At 45.5% G+C, this 23714-nt stretch overlaps 2 protein-coding genes across 2 annotated transcripts in view, besides 2 other annotated features; one reads left to right on the forward strand and one right to left on the reverse strand.

Moving 5' to 3' along the window:
• The window catches only part of ABCC3 (ATP binding cassette subfamily C member 3), a 57373-nt gene extending 54025 nt beyond the window's left edge, over positions 1-3348 (forward strand). Inside the window, exon 31 of the mRNA NM_003786.4 lies at positions 2187-3348. Coding sequence (NP_003777.2) covers positions 2187-2295 — 109 coding nt within the window. The 3' untranslated portion in view covers positions 2296-3348. The remainder of the gene's footprint in view (positions 1-2186) is intronic.
• A 944-nt stretch (positions 3349-4292) lies between these two features.
• Positions 4293-19009, reverse strand: ANKRD40 (ankyrin repeat domain 40). The gene is made up of 5 exons (NM_052855.4): positions 18616-19009; positions 11663-11811; positions 10494-10988; positions 8035-8216; positions 4293-7238 (listed from the first exon to the last, which is right to left on the reverse strand). Exons 1-5 carry the CDS (start codon positions 18747-18749, stop codon positions 7092-7094), a joined length of 1107 nt encoding a protein of 368 aa, NP_443087.1. The 5' UTR covers positions 18750-19009; the 3' UTR covers positions 4293-7091.
• Positions 18345-18614: a silencer, noted in NCBI's record as "silent region_8707". NCBI's record gives its function as "represses an Ori minimal core promoter by ATAC-STARR-seq in GM12878 lymphoblastoid cells {active_cell/tissue: GM12878}" and the evidence as "EXISTENCE:reporter gene assay evidence [ECO:0000049][PMID:35858748]".
• Positions 18745-18954: a silencer, noted in NCBI's record as "silent region_8708". NCBI's record gives its function as "represses an Ori minimal core promoter by ATAC-STARR-seq in GM12878 lymphoblastoid cells {active_cell/tissue: GM12878}" and the evidence as "EXISTENCE:reporter gene assay evidence [ECO:0000049][PMID:35858748]".

The following is a 23714-nucleotide window of genomic DNA, read 5'->3' on the forward strand; positions in this document are numbered from 1 at the left end:
AAAAAAAAAAAATGGTGGCCAACGCGGTGGCTCACACCTGTAATCCCAGGACTTTGGGAGGCCGAGGCAGGCAGATCATTTGAGGTCAGAAGTTAGAGACCAGCCTGGCCAACATGGTGAAACCCTGTCTCTACTAAAAATACAAAAATTAGCCTCTCATGTGGCAGGCACCTGTAGTCCCAGCTGCTCAGGAGGCTGAGGCAGGAGAATCACTTGAACCCAGGAGGCAGAGTTTGCGCCACTGCACTCTAGCCTGGGTGCAGAGCGAGACTCTGCCTCAAAAAAAAGAAAAAAGTCAATGAAAGATATTTAAACTGCAGGTGATCCTGGGAAATGACAGTGTCCTCCCCAGCCCCTTGCTCTAATTCTTGCGCTAGGCCCTCCAAGGATGAGGGGAGGGGCCATGCCCTCAGAAGCTTGTGGCTTCCTTGGAGAGGCAGACCACTCCCTCATTGTGCCAGATGTCAAAGTGTGGTGCTGGAGGTCGAGGAGAGAGGGCTGGGTGACTCAGAAGCCTCACGGGAGTGAACTGGCCCTGGCCTGGCAGGCTGTGCTCCCTAGAAACTAGAGGGGAGGAGGAGGCAGGAGGCTCAGACAAGTCTTCTTTGAAGGAGTATAGTGGGAATACCCCAACAGGCCTTCACTCACTCAAGAAACACTTGCAGGACGATGGAGTGGGAAGGGTGCCATGGACAGGGCAATGGGTCAGACCTTGCTCTCTTGGAAGTGCCCCCATGCAGCCAGCAGTGTCTTGGGAGCCAAGCTGAGAATGCCTGATGCTACCCTCTGTCTGTTCCATCCCTCTCCTACCCTCACCCCCCACTCCCATTTAGGACCCCACTGGGAGAAGGGAGGGTGGGCAGGAAGTGCTGAGCCCTGGGTTTGGAGGAGGGACAGGGCTGGGCTGAGAGGACCTGTTCCCAGGCCTAACCAAAACTGTTTCATTCACCAGCAGCCCTAGGGTGAGGGGCTTGGATGGACCTTGGAGGTTGGGAGTTCATTCATTCTAGTGGAACAGGCAGAAATTAATCAAATAATCATGTGTAAATAGGGCCCATAGGAAGGACGCAAAGGCCTGTGTGTGCAGGCCAGAAAAAGGCTATCCACACAGGGTGGCCAGGACACTTTCTCCTGTAAGGAAGGGATGCACCAGCCAGGCCTGAAAGAATGAGTAAGAGTTGGAGGATGGAGGTGGGGCAATAAGGTAGGGAGCGAGCTGAAAATTGCAGGCAAAGGATATAACACATGCCCCAAGGCAGGAGGGTACAGGAGGCTGGAGTGCGTGGGAGGGAGGCAGTAGAACCAAGATGGGGGTGGAGAACAGGCCGCACTCTGCTGCACTTTGAGGACCATGGGAGAGCATTCAGTCCTTACCCAAGAGCAATCAAAAGCCGCTGAAGACCTTGATTTTGGAGTCAGGGTTGGGATCGGCGGGAGGGGAGGGGGGGCGGTGGCCAGGCAGTGATGTCACAGACACAGTCCTTCCCAGGACACATCTGGGAGCCCAGTAGGCTGAGAACCAGAATGCAGTCAGCCCCCTCCCATGGAGGAGCACTTCTCCAGGCTGGGGAGAGCCCCTTCCCCTCCTGCCGTACCCTGGTGGAGCCAGCCCACTGGCCTTGTACCAGGTGCACTCGGTGAGTGGTTGGTGGGAGATTCTAACCCTGGGCTCAGGCCTAGCTGTTTGTGTGTGAGCTGGAGACCCACCGAGCAGCAGCAGCAGCAGCAGCAGCCGCAGCAGCCGCCACCAGATTTGCAGCCCAAGCCCCAGATTCCAGTGTCAGCCTCGCTGCAGCTGGTTTCCTGCCGTGTGCTTTTGTGAGCCGACACAAAGCAGATGGATGTGCACAGAGCCCAGCGCACAGGCCCATGGCTCCCTGCGCACAGCCTGCTGAAGTCCTGTGACCCCGGCAAGGGGAAGGGCTCATTAGGGAAGGTTTTCAGAGCCCTGACTAGCAGAGATGAATAGGACCTTGTGTTTGATCCCAGAAACTGCTTCACTTGCCAGAACTAACAGAATGGCTAAAATAACCAGCCTTGCAAGTGTGCACATGTGGTGCGGTGGCTGTGTTGGGTGGGTTGGCATGTCACTGTGGGCCTGAGCAAGTACCCAGAAGAGCAGGATTAGACGATGTGACCAGGTCAGGGCTGATGGAAACCTGACCACTTCTCTCTTTTTTGACTAGGGTCCTGGTCCTGGACAAAGGAGTAGTAGCTGAATTTGATTCTCCAGCCAACCTCATTGCAGCTAGAGGCATCTTCTACGGGATGGCCAGAGATGCTGGACTTGCCTAAAATATATTCCTGAGATTTCCTCCTGGCCTTTCCTGGTTTTCATCAGGAAGGAAATGACACCAAATATGTCCGCAGAATGGACTTGATAGCAAACACTGGGGGCACCTTAAGATTTTGCACCTGTAAAGTGCCTTACAGGGTAACTGTGCTGAATGCTTTAGATGAGGAAATGATCCCCAAGTGGTGAATGACACGCCTAAGGTCACAGCTAGTTTGAGCCAGTTAGACTAGTCCCCGGTCTCCCGATTCCCAACTGAGTGTTATTTGCACACTGCACTGTTTTCAAATAACGATTTTATGAAATGACCTCTGTCCTCCCTCTGATTTTTCATATTTTCTAAAGTTTCGTTTCTGTTTTTTAATAAAAAGCTTTTTCCTCCTGGAACAGAAGACAGCTGCTGGGTCAGGCCACCCCTAGGAACTCAGTCCTGTACTCTGGGGTGCTGCCTGAATCCATTAAAAATGGGAGTACTGATGAAATAAAACTACATGGTCAACAGTATATACACAGTAGTCTTTTTGCACTTGTTCACAAGGTTTGGGGATTAGGATCTTTGGAGGAGGCCAAGAGGAAGACTTTCTACACATGTACATGGTTGTAGTTACCTGAACTTCAGACCCAAGAGCTCTTGGCTGCAAATATTGCCTTCACAGCCAAAATTCCCTGGGTAATTGCCAGTAGCTCCTGCTCTGCTGTGCAGATATTGTAAAACGGTGAGAAAGGCCCTGAAATCTGACCTGGGGCCTCTTGGGAAAGCTGCTGTGAACACCTCCACGTTAATGTCATCCCTCAGCCCTCTATGCCTGTTTCTCTAGGGACTGAGAAGTGCATGATGCTTTTACTTCCTTGCTCATTTCGAAGTCTGTTCCAGACAGTTCCTATAACCAGTGAGGCCTCCAAGTCATTCATTTTCCTCAGTCTAGCCAAAGCTGAATGTGTGAGCACAAAGAAGCCGAGAGGCCACCTCCTGCCCAGAGAGAAGCCACCCACACTCCCAGGTTGGCAGACAAGATGTGAGGGGTGAATTAAATTTGTTTTCTTGAGCAAGCCAACAAAGAGTTTCTTTTCTGCAGGTCAGAGTCCACCTGGCTGGCACCGGCCTTCTATTTGGAATGGATCTCTTCTCCTTGTTCCTAAGTGTTCTGGTCTCCTCTGTCTCGCTCTCATTTCCTCTATCTTTGTCTTGGTATGATGTGAGTGGCTGTGGGTGATGGTGGTTTTCTCCCCAACCCTAAATGGCTTGCAGTAGATATGGATGGAGGTGGATCCTTTGACTGGTTTTTTCTATATGCTCTGGGTCAGCCTGTGCTGCAGGACCATTTGTTAAAGGTTAATCACATTTTTTTGGCAGGCTGTTTCTGCCCAGGATGTTTATGAGTATATGGAAGATGACTTCCATCCTTGTGATAAAGCAAGTATGAAAGCACAAATGCCCAAATTATCCTGCCTCTCCTTGGTGCTAAGAAAAGGTCTCTGCTATGCTCTCTGATTTATTAGGCCAATTTGGCTTGACGTCTGCTTTGTGAGGTGCTAGCTGGCCTGAACCAACAGAAAAGCAGACTCATTCAGCATCAGTATCAGCTAAAGATCTGGAAGTGTAAGGCTGTGTTTCCTCTCCTGTCTTGGGACTTTGCTTCTGAGCTCATTGAGGCCCTGACAGGTGCTGACAACTCAAAGGAGAGGCTCAGTTGGGTAAAGTAAATAGGATAATCAAAAAATGTGGTTAATAGGGGATGACCTCCATCTAACTGGCTCAGCTACTCCAGGGAAATGAAGCCGACTGCGTGAACTGGAAGGAAAGACGCCGCACAAAATATCCGTCCCCAGGTGCTACTGACAGGGTATGAACGGGATGTGGAGGAGGCTCAGGTGGAGAGAGGGCCCTTCTAATTTTCCTGCAGAGCTTCTGGTCTCTGGGACTGTCCAACAATTTGAACCCCCTATGATTAGAACTGTAGTGCTGTTTAGGAAGCCAAAATGAAGGCATATAGGATCGGTCAGTTAATATTTAATTTTAATAATACTTGTTATGTTTGAACAGTCAGCAATGCACAAAGAAAAAATCTTCAGTGAATGTTTACACACAGTGTGAACACATGCTTTAAATATGCAGTGGAGGAGGAGGGGTGAATTCACAGTTAACAAAGCTAAAAAAAAAATCCTTGTTATAAATTACACAAAGCATATAAAAATATTTCTCTGAATGCATAGATTAAGACTTTAAACTCACCTACCAGCAACTGTGCAGTCTTATTCCACTGCGATACGCAGTAGTCAGTTGACCACAGAGGATTTTATAAAGGAGAAGAGAGACCAGCATAGGACAGAGATACATCAAACCCACCTCTCACCAGAGACACCAGTCCCTTGCTTGCCTCTGTCGCTAAGCCCAGAACATGCCCTGCAGCTGCTCCTCTGGAGGCCATCTCCCAGCCAGGGGCTCCACTGCTCCACTTTAATTAATCTGGGTGGCTGAAAGTGTTTTAACCCAAGTAACTTAAGACATGAATTAATAGTGAATTTATTTCCTCTAGGACAGAACCAGACTTAACTTTATTAGTAAACTGTAACTGTTTTAGAAGTAAAGAAAAAAAAGGTTACTACATCTAGTTAAATTCACTTCCGATTGGTTGAAACACAAGGGAGGGGCTGGGCCGGGTGGCTCACACCTGTAATCGGAGCACTTTGGGAGGCCAAGGCAGGTGGATCACTTGAGGCCAGGAGTTCGAGACCAGCCTGGCCAACATGGTGAAACCTTGTCTCTACTAAAATACAGAAATTAGCTGGGCATGGTGGCACATGCTTGTAATCCCAGCTACTTGGGAGGCTGAGGCAGGAGAATCGTTTGAACCCGGGAGGCAGAGGTTTCAGTGAGCTGAGATTATGCCACTGCACTTCAGCCTGGGCAACAAAGCAAGACTCCGTCTCAAAAAAAAAAAGAAAAGAAACACCAGGGAGGTTTCTTCTTTAAAGCACTTGAGAGAAAGAGGGTAATAAGTAACCTTCACTCTGCTATGCAAACACTGTACAAGGGTGAGTAAGTCACCAGCAGTAATTGGTGGGATACAATTAAGTCACTAAACAGAGTGAGTCCATGAAGTTAGCCTTGAAAAACATCTCAACCTCATTTCAGCATTTAGGCAGCAGCAGGAGGCCATTATCTTAGCACAACATTCTCTTCTGTTGACATCTTCTGCACGTTCTCACTCAACTGTAGTGTTCTAATAAAATTAAGTTAACACAGTTAGGAAGTTGAGTTTCTTTGGAAACTATAGGCACTATGGGGAAAAAGCTTCTTAAGACAGCAGGGATGCTCTTCGACAGCTGGCTTCAAACCCCTGCTCTCCTGTTTGTCTAAGTGTGCTAGTTCTTATTTCTGAAGTTAAGCTGTTTGTTTCAACAAAACAGTGGCTGCTCTTTTAACATTAATGACACTGAAGGAAAGGAAAAGAATCCTTGAATGCATTCTTCTAAAAAATTCCTATGCCATACTCAAGAGCTTAATCAGGTGTTTTGTTTCTATTTTTCAGAACAAAGTCTGGTAGACTCATAACTGACTTTGTGAAGTGAATTGGTGGTAGTAGTAGGGGGATCACTAAGATCAAACAATTTGTTTACAAAAGCAACAGATTTCAGAATTGTGTAAAAATCCTAATAATTTCAAAATAACCTTTATTTTTGATACAAAAATAAAGATGCTAACTCCTTTAGCTCAGTTTCCCACAATAACCTTTAAAATAGCAACAGATTCAGTCTCAAAAATTGCTTTTCATTTGTAGTGGAAAATGAAAGTGGAGAACATGGAACAGCAATATTTGTGCTCTTCTCATAGGATGCAGTTACACACACATATGACTGGAATCACTTCAGAGTAAAAAAAAAGTGGGCTGGGTGCAGTGGCTCACACCTGTAATCCCAGCACTTTGGGAGGCCAAGGACAGGAGCATCACTTAAGGCCAGAAGTTTGAGACCAGCCTGGGCCACATAGTGAGACCCTGTCTCTATGGGCGGGGTGGGGGTGGGGGGCATTGTAAAAAAGCAGTTGTTCTTTTAGAAGGCATCAGAGAGCCCTCTAGTGACCACGAAGGGGAGTTAATGCAGAGATGACTCGAGACAGAGAAGCAGTCATGAGTGTTTACAAAGGAAAAAGTGAGGGAGGGAAAGCTCTTTTGGTTAACAGCATATTTACAATTAGTTAACTGTATTCTTAAATACTTTTAACCTGAGTAACATTTATAAATATGTTATAGGAAACCTCACAGTCACAAGTCACACTAGAATCCATCTGTCCAGTATCTGTGCTTTCCCCACACCAGAATCCATCTGTCCAGTATCTGTGCTTTCCCGAGTCTTCCTCTCTCATAAGTTCCCAATGTCAGCAGAGTTGTGAGCATGCAACACCAAGAAAAACGCATCCCAGCCCTTCAGGTGCACTGTCAACAGGAGTGGCTAGAAATAGGCTCCGCTCTCTCTCAGCTGCTGCTTAGACAACTCTCTTACATTCTGGACATAAAACACACTGGATATAGAACCTTCAGCTTCTGCCTCTCCAGACCACTTCTCAGCTGTTCAAAGCTTCAAGCAATAGGTTTACTGTGCACCAAGAGGCTTGGAAGAGTGGCACCACTGCTTGGGGGTCAGGGGCTTCCTACCTTGGCAGAATGATGTTAGTATATACTATGCAGTGGCACCAGAGGCCCTCCCGGGCATCTGAGGCATTTAGATCAATGGCTTGTCCTTGGCCCAGAGGTGATGCACACTGTCATAATACTCAGTGATAAAAGTCCCTGCTGCATTAGTAAGTCAGTTTTGAAGCTCTCCTGTTATAGCAAGGCCTTTCAGTCAGTGTGGATGCAGCATTTCTGAACAGAAAATTATTTTCACTTATCATCAGAACCAGTTCCAGCTCCTGGAAATCTTGGAGTCGAGCAACATCCTTGTCCTAAAACAAAAATATGTTAAACAGATTAACAGGAGCCACTTGTCTCCATATGTTTGGTGCACTCTATTGATACCAGTATCTTGTCTTATTTCAAAACCTAGAAGAAAAAAAAAAATCCCTGTGGCAGGCTAAGTCAGTGATAGTGCAACTAAGGCCCCAGGATGATTGGGTTGCAAAGTGGAAGTCCTTAAAAACAGCTCAGCAGCTGCGACAGCATGAGCACACACTGCGAAGGGAGAGGCAATGCACAGATCAGTTTCCCAGGTGCCCTGAGAAGCCAGAAGCCTGATGTCAAAAACCCAGAGATGTATGAAGGACCACACATGCATCTATGTGATTTGCTCTGTAACTGAACTTGGTCCTTCACTTGTAAAACAGAAGGCACATCTAGTAGTGCACTAAGTTAATCCTCACAGCTCACTACAGAAACCGAAAATAGGAACACGTGAATGATAATTCAGAAACTTCTCTCTGGTATCAACTTCCAAAAATGCCAGTGTGGCTGGTCTGAATGCAATGGTGTTTACAACTAGTTTGTAAGACTGTAACTGGCCAAACACCAGTTACAGATGTCTTTGTTCCTTCTCCACTCCACTGCTTCACTTGACTTGCCAAAAAAAAAAAAAAAGCCAGTGTCCCTATAGACTCAGTAGAAGGAAATGATTACATTTGGAAAATCACTCTTTGCTCCTTTTCTATTCTTTGTTTATTCCCTCAACTACCTCATATAACCAAGGAGGGGGCTAGGTATTTTTCAAATGCAAAAAGCAGCCATTCATGCTTAGACTTTTCTTACCTTCCTTAACAGAGTATTGGGTAACTTTCTGATCTTCTCCACTTGATCTGGATTAACACCCAGCTCACAGCAACACACTCTGAGCAACTCTTGGTAGGTGAGCTCCTGTCGGTCCAGTTCAATTTCAATGAAATCATTTTCTCGAAGAGATGGGTTCTGAATTCTCACCTTGAGTACCAGCTCTAGAAAAAAAAGGAGAAATGTTAATGAATAGTTCTGGCACAGCACAGCCCATGTTGTTTAAGATCTTTTCCAGAAGATGGTTATACTTAATCATGCCAAAGGTCTGTGCATGATTAACAGACCTGTTTGGTGGGAAAACCAAGTGCAGCCAGCAGGGTTTGCTCAGGCCCAGCTCTGCCTCTGCTGGGGCAGTTTCCTGCACTGTCGTCCGTACTTCTAAGGCTATGGTTCACAAAGTAAGAGCAAGGCAGGGGAAACCATTCCAGCTATGTAGAAGGATAATTTACTTCTGCCATTGGAGCTAAGGAGGCAAAGTCTTAAGAACAGGTTTGGGTATCAAACTATACATGAACAGGGGAAGAGGGAAGAAGGTTGGAAAGAAGGCATGGGCAGGATGTGAGTTACCCTAAAAAGATTTAACAATTATGGACCTAAAGGTATCTGTAAAATATGAAACTCCTTGCAAAAAAGACAGTAAAAGAGCCAAATGACAAGCTACTAATAAAAGCTAAAGTATAACTTGATTTGAATGTAGCACACCTTCATGAGGAAGGGGTCTTGGCTTATTATTCATAGGTCTGGGATCTAAGCAATCTGCTCCTTTATTCTGAACCTGGCTGCCAAGACAGCCTGAGTCAAGCACCCTGTACATTTGGCAGTTCTGCTTTGTTCCCTGTATATGAATCCCTTGTAGCACCCCAGGTCACTGTTAGCACCTACAGTAGTAACTCCTCAAAAACAGGAAGTGAGAGAGTTACTTCCAGGAAAAAAGGAAAAGTAAGACTAGCTACACCCTATGGCATTTGACTGGATTTGGAAGAATCAGGATGAACTTGTGGTTTTTAATATTTTTAAAAAGTTATACATAGAGAAATATTGATATCTTTCCTGGCTATGTCCTCTCAACGGGCCTAGAAGAAATGATATACCTGTAGCAATGAGGACACCTAGTGACCACATCCTGGTGTCTGAATACCATTCTCGGTGGGCCCAAGTGGGAGGCAAGTTTGCTGTGTGCCCTAAATACCATTCTCCACCAAAAAGAACCAGGGCTTCTTGGAGAAATGACTGATTCCAGGGTTGGGGCAGGAAAAGTTATGCTATAAGCCCGGAACATCTTGCTGCCCCAGAAAGTAAGGCAGTGCTCCAAGAACAATGAAGACACATGCAAGGGACATAAGAACTAGCTTCAAGGGGCTCCCACTGGCCAAATCTGGGATAATTTGAATAATTAAAAAATGATAGTAACAGATTATAACCCACTGAATAAAATAAGAATATATGAGTCAATACTGATATGAATGAAGGAGAAGGGAAAGCCCTTCTTTACAGTAAAATACCAACTAATAAGTAGAGAAAGAATGATAGAAAATCATATCCCACAAAAATAATTGGCCTGGACTCTTCAAAAAGATCAAGATCAAAAATGATAAAGGGTAAAGATTCCAGATTAAAGGAAACTAAAACAACGTGATAACTACATGCAACATATGATCCTGGGCAGGATGCAGGGGGCAGAGGAGTACAGATAGTCCAGATAGATATCAATAGTACAGATAGTACTATTTCTGTAATAGTACAGACAGTACGTATAGTAGATGAGGGAATACAAAAGGCAATGTTTGAGACAACTGACAAAATTTAAACATGGTCTATGGATTACAGAACAGCATTAGCTCAAGATTACATTTCTCAAATTTGGTCATTTGTACTGTAGTTATATAAGAGAATATCCAGCTGGGTGCGGTGATTCACACCTATAATCTCAGCACTTTGGGAGGCTGAGGCAGGCAGATCACTTAAGGTCAGGAGTTTGAGACCAGCCTGGCCAACATGGTGAAACCCCATCTCTACTAAAAATACAAAAAAAAAAAAAAAAAAAAAAAATTAGCCAGGCGTGGTGGCATGCTCCTGTAATCTCAGCTACTTGGGAGGCTGAGGCAGAAGAATCACTTGAACCTGGGAGGCGGAGGTTGCAGTGAGCCAAGATCACACCACTGTACTCCAGCCTGGGTGACAGGGCGAAGCTACGTCTCAATAAAAAAAAGAGAGAATATCCTTGTTCTTAGGAAAGATATAATGGAAAGAATACTGAAGGGTATCAGGGTAAAAGGGCAAAAGGTAAACAATTTGTGAATTTGAGTAAAGGGAGTTCCTTATGTTAGTCATGTAACGTTTCTGTAAGTTTGCAATTATACCCAGAATACCTCATTAAATCCCACCCCTCTGGACACCAACTCCCCTGTTGCAGAGGCTGTTTGCTGATGAGGGGTTACCTTGCATATTAAATGGAAATGCTCCAGTGAAGAAAAATGGCTGGAATGCTGGCGCTGGTCCTGCATACGTCCCATTTTGAGGCTCCAGAGACATTGGTGGCTTGGACGGGACAGAAGAAAACAGGGAGCGGCTCTGACTCACTGGTGGCTGACAAACAGGACCCGGTTTTGTGCTTTCTGGTGTTCTGAGTATGGCAGAGGGGGCCGACACATCACCATTCTGAACTAGTGCCAAAGAGGTGTGGTCCCGGGGAAAGGTCCCTAACAGGGGAGGTTCCCCAGGGGGAAGCAATGGAGGTGAGCCATCTGCAGGGGGTGATGCAGGGGGTGTGGAGGGGCCCCCATTCTGCATCTGGGCTGAATCCTCTGCTGTGGGTGTATAGATAAAAGGGAAGGCTGGGTTGGCCAAATAGTTGGGAACAAAGGGCAGTTCTGACTCCTTCTTCAGCTGGGGGAGGTTGTCATCATCATCATCATCATCATCTTCTTCTTCCACTTAAAAAGAAGAAAACAGAACATTTACACAGTCCTTTCAAAATTATCAAAACAAGGTGTCTTTTGAAAGTGGTGTCTTTTGGTATGTGACATTGGTCAGTGTCAGGTCAGAAGAAAAAAGAATACTTCATTAGGTTTATGATTACCATTTTTATCATTATCTTAAATTTTACAAATAAAAAAATAAAACCTTACAATGCTGACCTCCCCAGAAACAATCTGGAATTACTATCTTGGCACAGTAATTTGCTTTTAGAAATAGAACAGTTGCCGGGAGCGGTGCCTCATGCCTGTAATCCCAGCACTTTGGGAGGCTGAGGCTGGCGGATCACCTGAGGTCGGGAGTTTGAGACCAGCCTGACCAACATGGTGAAACCCCGTCTCTACTAAAAATACAAAATTAGCGAGACGTGGTGGCACATGCCTGTAATCCTAGCTACTTGGGAGGCTGAGGCAGGAGAATCACTTGAACCTGGGAGGCAGAGGTTGTGGTGAGCCGAGATCACGCCACTGCACTCCAGCCTGGGCAACAAGAGCTAAACTCCGTCTCGGAAAAAAAAAAAAAAAGAAAGAAATAGAGCAGTTGTTTGACCAGCATTAAGAACGTAGCCAATAATACCACAAGTCTTCAATGAGTCTGAGGAAATCAAAAGTTCCCCCAAACACAGACTCACCTCCCATAATCTTCCTGATTTCTCTCCTTGATGTTAACTGGACTGGCATTTCTCCTTTTGTGGTAAGAATTTCTTTGTCAGCTCCTGATTTTAACAGGTAAGAGACCACCTGACCATGGTTTCGTTTACATGCCCAGTGTAAACAAGTCCTGTACCAAAGAAAATAATGATTGAAAAAGAGGAGAAGTGATTTTGGATTTCAGATTCTAAACATTAGTAAATAATGTATAAACAAGCCTGTTAGAGTTCAGCTAGAACCAGGTAACCGGGCTGGTAATCTCAACTTTTCACAAAGCCGATGAGCAAAATATTTAATATGCTTAAATTTTGTTTTTAAATTTCATTTCTGGCTCCTGAGAAAAACTAACTTAACCTAGGAGTTTTAATTTCAATAGCCTCCAGAAGGTAAGCTCACTGGCTGGCTAACTCCAATGATACCGTGGAATATACTCTATCAGTATCGCTCATTAGATCATCTCAGTCTCTGAAACATATTTTTCTATTGCTATATTCCTTTTCAGGGACTATGGAAACTCACTTCATATGCCACCTGAAGATTCAATATTATCAGGATAATAACCATCTCCTATCAGCAGCTTGCTCTGTCACTTAAATTATTATTATGACAGCAGATATTCTTGCCTGAATCCCAGTTGCTCACTTTCTTTTTCCTTCTTACTTTTCTTTCCTTAACACACACACAAAGGATTTCCAAATTTCCATTTTTAAAAAGTTGGCTTCTCTAGTTCTCTCCAGAAGGCTACAAACATATCCTCATCTGCGTAAATGTAAGGCACTGCACACATACTTTAATTCCTGAGGTACTTAAAAAATATACATCAACAACCAAAATTCTTCACGAACAGGTTCTTCTAACATATCAGACTCATTTAAGTAAAACTAATCACTCAATATTGTACACAGAGGAAGCAATTCTGCACACTCTGAAGGGCTACTATTTTAATACTGTACAGAAACATAATTAGCATGCCAGCAAAAACTCCATCTTAACAGAAATGAAAGATTCAGAGCAACTAAATCCATCCCTAGGTGCCAGAGCTGACTGTATATTATGGAAGGAAAATACTTTTCGCCTGTGTTTTGAAAGGTCTTCTTTCACCAACTCTCTAACTGAACTGAGATACATATCTTCAGAGCTCTTATAGCCAAATACAGAAATGAAGATTAGAACAAATGTTCAATATTGAAGGTTAGTTCACTAACCTGGGAAGTATAATTATTTGGAAAGTTTATATGATTCCAGGAAAAAGCTGATTTGCCCTGGGCTTAACATTAGTAACTTACAGAAAGTTAGCATGTCTGGCTGGCTGGGAGCAATTCCATTGATGTCTCAGAGTGACATTCTACATTATGGTTCATTAGAATTAGATTATCCAGGTTCCTTTAAGGTGTATTCCATGATGCAATGACAAAATTATTGCTAATTTGGGAAAAATAAGAGTCTCGTTAAGTTTGGGAGAGAAGAGTCTTGATCAAGCTCCCTGAAGGCAAGGAAGTGTTTGCTTGGCATGTATTAATTAATATTTACTGAATGGGCCAGGCACGGTGGCTCACACCTGTAATCCCAGCACTTAGGGAGGCCAAGGCAGGTGGATCACTTTAGGTCGGGAGTTTGAGACCAGCCTGCCCAATAGGGTGAAACCCCATCTCTACTAAAAATACAAAAATTAGTGTGATGGTGCATGTCTGTAATCCCAGCTACTGGGGAGGCTGAGGCAGGAGAATTGCTTGAACCCAGGAGGTGGAGGTTGCAGCGAGCCAAGATTGTGCCACTGCACTTCAGCCTGGGCAACACAGCAAGACTCCATCTCAAAAAAAAAAAAAGTACCAAATGAGTAAACTAAGGATAAAGTGGACCTTGCTTGAAGTAGAAGGATCCAATCTACCCTTGATTCTGGGCAAACTGGAACCTTGAGTGTGTTTGTGTGTGGATGTCTGTGGCACAGGCTTAAAAAGTGAACAATTATAATGATAAGTGAGCCCTCAAAAATGAATGAAGCATGATGAGAAAAATATGCTCCCTTTTGGAAATAAAATGCTCACTTGCTAGTAGTAGATCACTTGTTCGTGGCAAGCTTGAGAGTAAAGGAGGTAATTTACTACCAGTGGGTCTGAGAGACTCTGGGACAAACCAACTTGCTAAACTACCACCCATGTAAAGCAGGGTTAAGTCAACATAGCGTGGCCCCCACAGCCCTGTGCCTTAGTGATCATCATTTACCGTCCAGAGCTGTGCGGCTCTGGGCAGCCATAACTCAGAGCCCCTGCAGCCAGGTAATATTTTCAAGTTCTTCATGAACCAAGGGTTATGCATGACACTTGAATTACAACTGATGTGGGGGAATGATTAGTGATCAATCTAATTGATAGATTACTCTATCTTTGAACTTCAACTCCTTAAGCTTTACATTTGCAGTCAAAATATCTTATTAGTGTCAGAAACTATTTCAGACCTGAGGCACTGGGTGTCATTCATCAACAGGGCATCACTCATTGGTGCTGAAATTGTGATTACTGAGCAACTAAGACTTGAAAGCAGTCACCATTCTGCTTTGCAAATGCAAGAGAGTACGTTTTTTTGAGGGTAACCTTATATTCCATTATCTAGCATATTGCTTCATAATAAGAAAACAACAACAATGGCTAATACAGGTATAATGCTTTACGTGTTGGACATTGTTCTAAAGGCATTACATGTATTAACTTATTTAATCCTCTAAACCCATGAGGTAATACTACTGTCAACATTCCCCCCATTTTACAGAAGAGGAAACAGACATCAGCAAATAAATAAGCAAAGCACGCAGTACGCTAGGTGGTGATGAAGTATGACAGCAATAGTAAAGCAGGGAAAGGCATTAGGGAATGACAGAGGTTGGAAAGGGGCATTGTGCAACTTTAAATTGAGGGCCCAGGAAAAGCCTTGCCAAGAAGGTGACATCTAAACTAAAATCTGAAGGTGGTGAGGAAGCAAACCATGTGATATCTGGAGGGAAAGCATTTAAGAGAGTGGGAAGACAAAACGCAAAGATCTTGAATCAGGACTGTCTGGTATTCCAGAGAAAGCAAGGAGGCCAGGGGAAAAAGGTAAGCAGAAGGGCAAATCCCATGAGATTAGCACAGAGGTAAGGAGGGAAGATGTGGGGACAGGAAGTAGAAATTGTAGGACCCTGTAGGCTTTTACTGAGTGAGATAGGAGCCATTTTTGAGCAGAGTGAAATGATCTGACTTATGTTTTAAGTCAGGATCCCTCTGACCACTGTGTTAATTAAGAAGACTGTATGATATAAGCTTAGGAGCAAGGACACTAGTAGGAGGCTATTGTAATAATCCAAGCAAGAGAAACAATGGTGGCTTTGTATCAGAGGTGTAGTGGTAGGGTTAGTGAGAAGTAGTCAGATTCTGACTGTATCTGAAGGTGGAGCTCATAGAATTGGCTGACTGGATGTCGGCTATGAAAGACAGGAGGCAAGCAGGAGGCAAGCAGGGTGCCAAGGGTTCTGGCCTGAGCACTCCTGAGAGGCTGAGGACTCAGAGGAGCAGGCTTGAGGTGGTAGAGGGATGAGGGGAGACTTGGAATTCAATCTTGGACATGTTGAGTTTGAGGGGCCTATTAGACAGTTCCTCCAATTAAATCTACAAGAGGCCGGGCGCGGTGGCTCACGCCTATAATCCCAGCACTTTGGGAGGCCGAGGCGGGCAGATCACCTGAGGTCAGGAGTTCGAGACCAGCTTGGCTAACATGGTGAAACCCCATTTCTACTAAAAATACAAAAAACTAGCCAGGCGTGGTGGCACACACCTGTAATCCTAGTTACTTGGGAGGATGAGGCAGGAGAATCGCTTGAACCCAGGAGGTGGAGGATGCAGTGAGCTGAGATCACGCATTGCACTCCAGCCTGGGTGACAAGAGTGAAACTCCATCTCAAAAAAAAAAAAAAAAAAAAAAACCTATAAGAAGCCTCTTCAGGCTACCTCAGAATCACTTCACTAAACACCTCCTATGGGGCAGACATTGTGTTTAGGAGGGTAGGTCTGGCATCAGATACCAGGTTTGTTTTCTGGCTCCACTAGTTACTGTCAATCCTATGACCTTGGGAAGGGGCACTGTGAAAAGTGAGGAAACAACTTACGGTTTCTGGGCCTCAGTTTCTTCATCTGTAAATGGAGAGAACAGTAACTATGTCCCCAGGTAGTTGTGAACAAGCTAACACATGTAAAACACTTAGAACCCTATCTGAGCTGGCCGGGCACGGTGGCTCACGCCTGTAATCCCAGAACTTTGGGAGGCAGAGTCAGGCGGATCACAAGGTCAGGAGATCGAGACCATCCTGGCTAACACGGTGAAACCCCATCTCTACTAAAAATACAAAAAATTAGCCGGGCGTGGTGGCGGGCACCTGTAGTCCCAGCTACTCGGGAGGCTGAGGCAGGAGAATGGCGTGAACCCAGGAGGCAGAGCTTGAAGTGAGCCAAGATGGCACCTGGCACCACTGCACTCCAGCCTGGGCGAGAGTGCGAGACTCTGTCTCAAAAAAAAAAAAAAAAAAAAGAACCCTATCCTATCTGTGCTGCAAAGCAAGTTCAATAAATGTTAGCTATTTATGCTTCATCTCATTAAGGGCTCACAATACTCTTCTGGAACAAGTAGAAAATGAAGCATCTCAGGCAAAGTCCCATAGCTAGGCAGGAATGGAGGAGAACCTGCAGGAAAGACCAGGCTCCTTCTACACAACACCGCCTCCCAGTGCCAAAATGGTAATTCACAGCTTTGAACCAGAGGAATGCTGAGAAAAGGTTACATACACAACAGCAAGTTTGCAAAGACCTGTAAAAAAAAAAAAAAACAGAACAAAAAGGTAGTATCCACTGTTTCCTGGCCTTCTGGACAGCTGTCCAGGCTGTTTTCTTTAGGGAAATTAGGTAGAAAAAAATTTTTTTTTGAGACTGGGATCTCACTATGTTGCCCAGGCTGGTCTCAAACTTCTGGACTCCAGTGATCCTCCTGCCTTGGCCTCCCAAAGTGCTGGGATTACAGGCGTGAGCCACCAGGTCCTACCAGGAAGATAGACTTTTTTTTTTTTTTTTTTTGAGACAGAGTCTCGCTCTGCCACCAGCCTGGAGTGCAGTGGTGTGATCTTGGCTCATTTCAACCTCCAACTCCCTGGTTCAAGTGATTCTCCTGCTGCAGCATCCCAAGTAGCTGGGATGACAGGCACACACCGCTACCCCTGGCTAATTTTTGTATCTTTAGTAGAGACAGGGTTTCACCATGTTGGCCAGAATGGTCTCGAACTCCTGACATCGTGATCTGCCCACCTTGGCCTCCCAAAGTGCTGAGATTACAGGCGTCAGCCACCGCGCCAGGTCCAGGTAGGTAGACTTTTGAGGCAGTCTGGAAACCATGGTTCTGGTGCTATCATATTAATAGTTATGTGGCCTAGGGCAAGTTATTCTCTGTGGTTGAGCCTCTCTCCATTGTCCCTTTCAGTTCCAAAATGGATGATTCCACTTAAAAAAACAAAATGTAAACTCACTTTTTTTTTTTTTTGAGGTAGAGTCTTGCTCTGTCGCCCAGGCTGGAGTGCAGTGGTGCAATCTTGGCTTACTGCAACCTCCGCCTCCCAGGTTCAAGTGATTCTCCTGCCTCAGCCTCCCAAGTAGCTGAGACTACAGGCATGCACCACCACGCCCAGCTAATTTTTGTATTTTTAGTAGAGACGGGGTTTCATCATGTTGGCCAGGATGGTCTTGATCTCCTGACCTCGTGATCCGCCCACCTCAGCCTCCCAAAGTGCTACTCACTTTAACTCTAAGCTAGCAAAATAGTCTGGCTAAGCATTACCTGAATCAAAATTTTAAATTTTAAATGCAGAGAGCGGAATAATGCCACATTCAGTAACTTTCTGTTTTGACCACCAGCAACATCTTAAGATGAGACTCCTTATTTAATTGGGAAGAATTCAATCTGCAGGCAGACATCTAAAGTCTTGGGTGACATTCTGTATTTGAAATTGTAATAAGAAAACTGGCCAGGAACGGTAGGCTCACATCTGTAATCCCAGCACTTTTGGAGGCTGAGGCGGGTGGATCACTTGAGGCCAGGAGTTTGAGACCAACCTGGCCCCATCTCTACCAAAAATACCAAAAAAAAAAAAAAAAAAAATTAGCCGGGTGTGGGGGCGCGTGCCTGTATTCCCAGCTATTTGGGAGGCTGTGGCAGGAGGATCACCTGAGCCGGGGAGGTAGAAGTTGCAGTGAGCCGAGACTATGCCACTGCACTCCACCCTGGGCGACAGGGCAAGACCCTGTCTCAAAAAAAAAAAAAAAAAAAAAAAAAAAAAGAAAGAAAATAATCGATAGGATAAACAAATGAGTTTTCCCTCAAACAGGCAACTACAGGCAGCAGCAGCAAATCGGTTGCAGTGAAACAACAGAGAAGCAGAATGGTGATGCAAATGTGTTTTTTTTTCCTGGTCTTGGCTAAGGAAATCGTGCTAGTTTATAAAATTCATATTTGCTCAGTTGCTTATGCTTTTAGCTCTGCAAGATGCGTTCTCCAGAAGCACCTACGGCAAATTAACTCAACACTCGAATTGGGGTGAGCTCCAACGCATAGTCGCTGAGAATCACTGCCTCCAGCACCGCTCTGACCAAGTGAGCCGGGAGCGCGGGGGAAGGGGGTAGGGCACCAGAGTCCCAGTGGGCGCTGCCCCGAGTGGACCACGTGGGCCGGGATTTGGGCAGGACGCGCTCCCGACCGCACGAGGCATGGGGGCCAGGGCTGGCCTCAAGAGAGCACAATCTCGGAGGCCCGAGGTGGCAGGCCTCGCCGTAGCCAGGCGTCCCGCGCTGGGCCCAGGTCGCGACTGACTGCCCCACGCCTTCCGACCGGCTGCCCTGACCCTAGGCCTCCCCCGCTCCCCACTTACCAGCCGTTGACCTCATTTTGGGAGTTCACATCCACCCCGCTCTCCACCAGTTTCTGCACCTCCCGAATGTCCCCTAAGGCCGCGGCCTCCCGCAGCCTCTCCTGCTGCTCCTTCTGCTCTAGGAGGGCGTTCATCTTCCCACAGCCCCAGGCCCCCGCCCAGGCCCGCCTGCCCCGCCCCGCCCGGGGCCTGTCAGCGCCGCCGCCGTCGCCGCGGCCCGCTCCCGGCCATGGGGAGGGAGCGCGGAACTCGCCCGCCCTGCTCGCGCCGCTGCCCGCGCCCGCCCCGGGACTTCCGCTCCCTCCCGCGGGCCGCCCCTGCTGCTCCCGGCCCGCAGGCCCAGGCCTCCTCCCGGGCCGCGCCTCCCGAAGGCCGGCTCCGGGGGACCCTGTTCAGTGTGACAACGCTGACCCAGATATTTTCCGTTCCGACCCGGGGCTCCGGCGCCCGGGCTGGCTGTTTATGTAACTACTGCACAATATTATATGCCATGATTCATTGACTATTTTTAGACTTCCCCACCCCGCAGTTTCAAGGGAGGAGGACAAGACACATGAAAAGAGAAAAAAGCATAGCTGAGGGCCAGAAAAGCCTTATCCTCTGGTGCAGGCTGTTTACCAGGCATCCAAAATAATTGGTGGGTTCTTTTTATTGGGATTTGGGGTTTTTTTGTTATTTTCCCCCAGTTTGGTTGGCTCCTTTTCCTTATCTGAGCCAATTCGTGCCCAGCAGGATGGGGAAATGGGCTGAAAACGATCCTACTATAATACGCCCATTATTACAGAGATAGATTAGACTCTTCTTCTTTTTGACAGTGCTTGGGGACAATTCAGTTAGAATATTTATTTCAATTGTTGTTGTTTTACATCTCATTTTAGACAGGATTTCTTCTAACCTGGCTTTCAGGAAAAATATTTATATTGTGCTCACAGTTTATGAACTGTAATTACTGCTTACAGATTGTAATTAGTTACTCTTCATGAAGGCCATATAAGGAGAAAAGAAAGGAAAAACACCAAAGAGGCTTTGGAGGTGTCCTGGTCCTGATTCCAAGTGCTCTGGGAAGAGCTGTGGTGTACATGTAAACAGCATTTTGCTTCACTTCTTGCCCGATCTATCTAATGAGGCTCAGAGCCTCAGTTGGCACTGTTTTATACCCAGTGGGAGAAAAAGGAAATATTGTTTTGTTGAGCCCAGGTGCCCTGAAGAGATCCTCCGATGTGGCACAGGATGGAACTTTACAGATGGGGTCAAGATTAAGGAAATAGCCCTGGGGAGGAAGGGAGGAAGGCCTGAACAAGGAGAGATGAAATAGGAAGGGATAAATTTAGGCATGGAGTTTTCATTTCCGTCTCTTGGGGCTGCTGGGATCTGCACAGCAAGCATTTTTCTTGCTACAGTTTAAGAAAAACCAATGTCTGTTTGTTTAGTATGATACAGTAATTCACACAGTACACAGTGCACACCAGGTGGTGCTGAATATAAACTGACTACACACTTAAATTGACCCCCATGGCAAATTGTAACCCTGCTTGAGCTTACATTTTCATTTGTTCCCCCAATTTAAATTTTAATTCTCACATCCAGCATGATACTCTATCTGAAACTGATGTGTATGGCACTGGATTTGAGTCCTTCAACACAATTTCAGTGACATGGGAGTAGGTAGTGGCTTGTTGTTTTTGTTTGCTTGTTTTTGAGACAGAGTCTCACTCTGTTGCCCAGGCTGGTGTTCGGTGGGGCGATCTCTGAGCTCCTTGCAACCTCTAAGTCCAGGTTCAGGCAATTCTCCTGCCTCAGCCTCCCGAGCAGCTGGGATTACAGGCCTGTGCCACCATGCTCGGCTAATTTTTGTATTTTTAGTAGACATGGGGTTTCACCATGTTGGCCAGTCTGGTCTCCAGCTCCTGACCTCATGTGATCTGCCAGCCTCAGCCTCCCAAAGTGCTGGAATTACAAGCATGAGCCACCGCGCCTGGCCTGTTTTTGTTTTTTTGTTGTTGTTGTTTTTTGTTTTTAATGCAGTTAAAAAAAATTGTTCGTGACTGCACCCCAAAGTCTATGAGTTCTTTTTTTTTTTTTTTTTTTTTTGAGATGGAGGAGTTTCGCTCTCATTGCCCAGGCTGGAGTGCAACAGCGCGATCTCGGCTCACCACAATCTCCACCTCCCAGGTTCAAGCGATTCTCCTGCCTCAGCCTCCTGAGTAGCTGGGATTACAGGCATGTTCCACCATGCCTGGCTAATTTTTTGTATTTTTAGTAGAGACGGAGTTTCTCCATGTTGCTCAGGCTGGTCTCAAACTCCCGACCTCAGGTGATCCGCCCGCCTCAGCTTCCCAAAGTGCTGGAATTACAGGCATGAGCCACCGCGCCCGGCCCCCAAAGTCTATGAGTTCTCTTTATGAGAGTTTGTCAAATGTCCCTTCCTTAAAAGGATTATAGCATGTACCCTACATAACTGCTGTATCCGTGAATATTAGTAGATCTTCTTAAACTCAACCTCTACTTACTCTGATTTCAGTCTTCTGTTTATTATCTTCAGATTAAAAAAAACAAAATTTTATCCACAAACAAAACTTCTGATCTTGGATATAACTGAATGTAACCTGCTGGCTGTTCTATTACTACTTCCATTTATCTCTACTCTGTCTTGTCTCTAGGGAACTACCTAACTCACTGAACTGTATTAAGCATGTGCTGTTTGCCAGGCACTGTTCTAGTCACTGAGGATGCTGCTGCAAATGAATCAGAGTCCTTGACTTTGAAGAACAGTTTATCAGGGGAGACAAGGCGAACAATAGAATGTGCTATGCATTACAATAGAAACAATGTGGCATAGTGGTAGTGAGTGTGGAGACAGACGCCAGACTGCCTGGGTTTGTATGCCAGCTTTGCCACTCATATAATCTTGAATGAGTTACTCAACTTTCCTGTGCCTCAAATTCTGCACCTGCGAAACAGGAATAATAGTAGCACCCACCTTGCAGGATTGTTCTATGGATTGAATGAATGGATATGTGCAAAGCCTAGACATCTTAAACATTCATTGGATCATAGGTGGGTTACAACAAGGTTTACGTTAGGAAAACTTAACCTGGCAGAATGGGAGGGCAGTGGTGGTCAAGAAACAAGGATAATGTTCGGGTTTCTGGATGATTAGATGGTGGTGTGATTTATTGAGATTTGGGACAAAGGATGAAGAGAAGGTTTGAGGTTTGGTCATGAATTCACTTTTGAATCTGTTGACTTGAACTTTCTGAGACCTTTTAATTACTACTACTCTTTACTATCTGCTACTATCAACTCATTGCCAGGTGCTGCAGGAAGTGCTGTACATGGATTATCTCATTTAATCCTCACAACAACTCCTCTGTAAAACAGGACCATCATTATTATCTGAGGCTCAGGGAGGTAATTAACTTGCCCCAGTGCTGGCCAGGCACGGTGGCTCATGCCTGTAATCACAGCACTTTGGGAGGCTGAGGCGGGCAGATCACCTGAGGTCAGGAGTTTGAGACCAGCGTAGCCAACATGGCGAAACCCCGTCTCTACTAAAAATACAAAAATTAGATGGGCGTGGCGGCAGGTGCTGGAGGCAGAGGTTGCAGTGAGTCAAGATCTCGCCATTGCACTCCAGCCTGGGCAACAGAGTGAGACTCTGTCTCAAAAATAAATAAATAAATAAATAAACAAACTTGCCCAATGCTATACATCGTAGTTTGTGATGGAGCAAGGCTTTGAACTCAAGTTCAACTTCTGAGCCTGTGCTTTCTTTTCTGATTTTCATTTAAATGGATATGTTCAGTAAACAGTTATGTGAATGGGTATTGCATTTAGGAAGGAGATCTGGGCTGGTGATTTGTATTTTGGCAGTCAGCAAAGGGTGCTAGCTGAAGTCATGGGAATAGAAGAGATAGCCCCAAGGGAGTCTGTGAGTGCTGAGAGAAGACTCCTGCCAGGCGCGGTGGCTCATGCCTGTAATGCCAGCATTTTGGGAGGCGGAGGAGGGTGGATCACCTGAGGTCAGAGTTCCAGACCAGCCTGGCCAACAGAGCGAAACCCTGTCTCTACTAAAAATACAAAAAGTAGCCGGGTGTGGTGGAGCGCACCTGTATTCCCAGCTACTCAGGAGGCTGAGGCAGGGGAATCACTTGAACCTGGGAGGTGGAGGTTGCAGTGAGGCGAAATCATGCCACTGCACTCCAGCCTAGGCAACAGAGTAAGACTCTGTCTCAAAAAAAAAAAAAAAAAAAAAGACTGCTGAAGACAGCCAGGAATGGTGGTTTGTTCCTGTTAATCCCAGCTACTCAGGATGCTGAGACAGGAGGATTCCCTTGAGCCCAGGAGTTCCAGACTAGCCTGGACAACACAGTGAAACCCTGACAGTAAGACCCTGTCTTAAAATAAGTAAGTAAATAAATAATTTTTAAAAAGAAGACAGCCAAAGACTGAAGAATACAGATGGTTCCCAACTTATGATGGTTGCAGTTAGGATTCTTTTACTTTACAACAGTGCAAAAGTGATACACAAAAGTGCAAAAATAAGTAGAAACCTTACTTTGTGTAACCAAACAACTATTCTGTTTCTCATTTTCAGTACAGTATTTAATAAATTACGTGAGATATTCAACACTTTATTATAAAATAGGCTTTGTGTTAGATGATTTTACCCAACTGTAGGCTAATTAAAGTATTCTCAGCACATTTAAGGCTAGGCTAAGTTATGATGTTTGGTAGGTATATTAGTCTATTTTCACACTGCTATCAGGAACTACCTAAGGCTGGGCACAGTGGCTCATGCCTATAATCCCAGCACTTTGGGAGGCCAAAGACAGGTGGATGATCACTTGAGGCCAGGAGTTGGAGACCAGCCTGGCCAACATGGAGAAACCCTGTCTCTACTAAAAAATACAAAAATTAGGTGGGTGTGATGGCGCAAGCCCATAATCCCAGCTACTCGGGAGGCTGAGGCACAAGAATCACTTGAACCTGGGAGGAAGGGGCTGTAGTGAGCCTAGATTGTGCCACTGCACTCCAGCCTGGGCGACAGAGCAAGACTTTGTTTAAAAAAAAAAAAAAGAAAAAAGAACTACCGGAGA

The sequence above is a fragment of the Homo sapiens genome, chromosome 17 (genome assembly GCF_000001405.40).
Source record: "Homo sapiens chromosome 17, GRCh38.p14 Primary Assembly".
NCBI classification, from domain to species: Eukaryota; Metazoa; Chordata; class Mammalia; order Primates; family Hominidae; genus Homo; species Homo sapiens.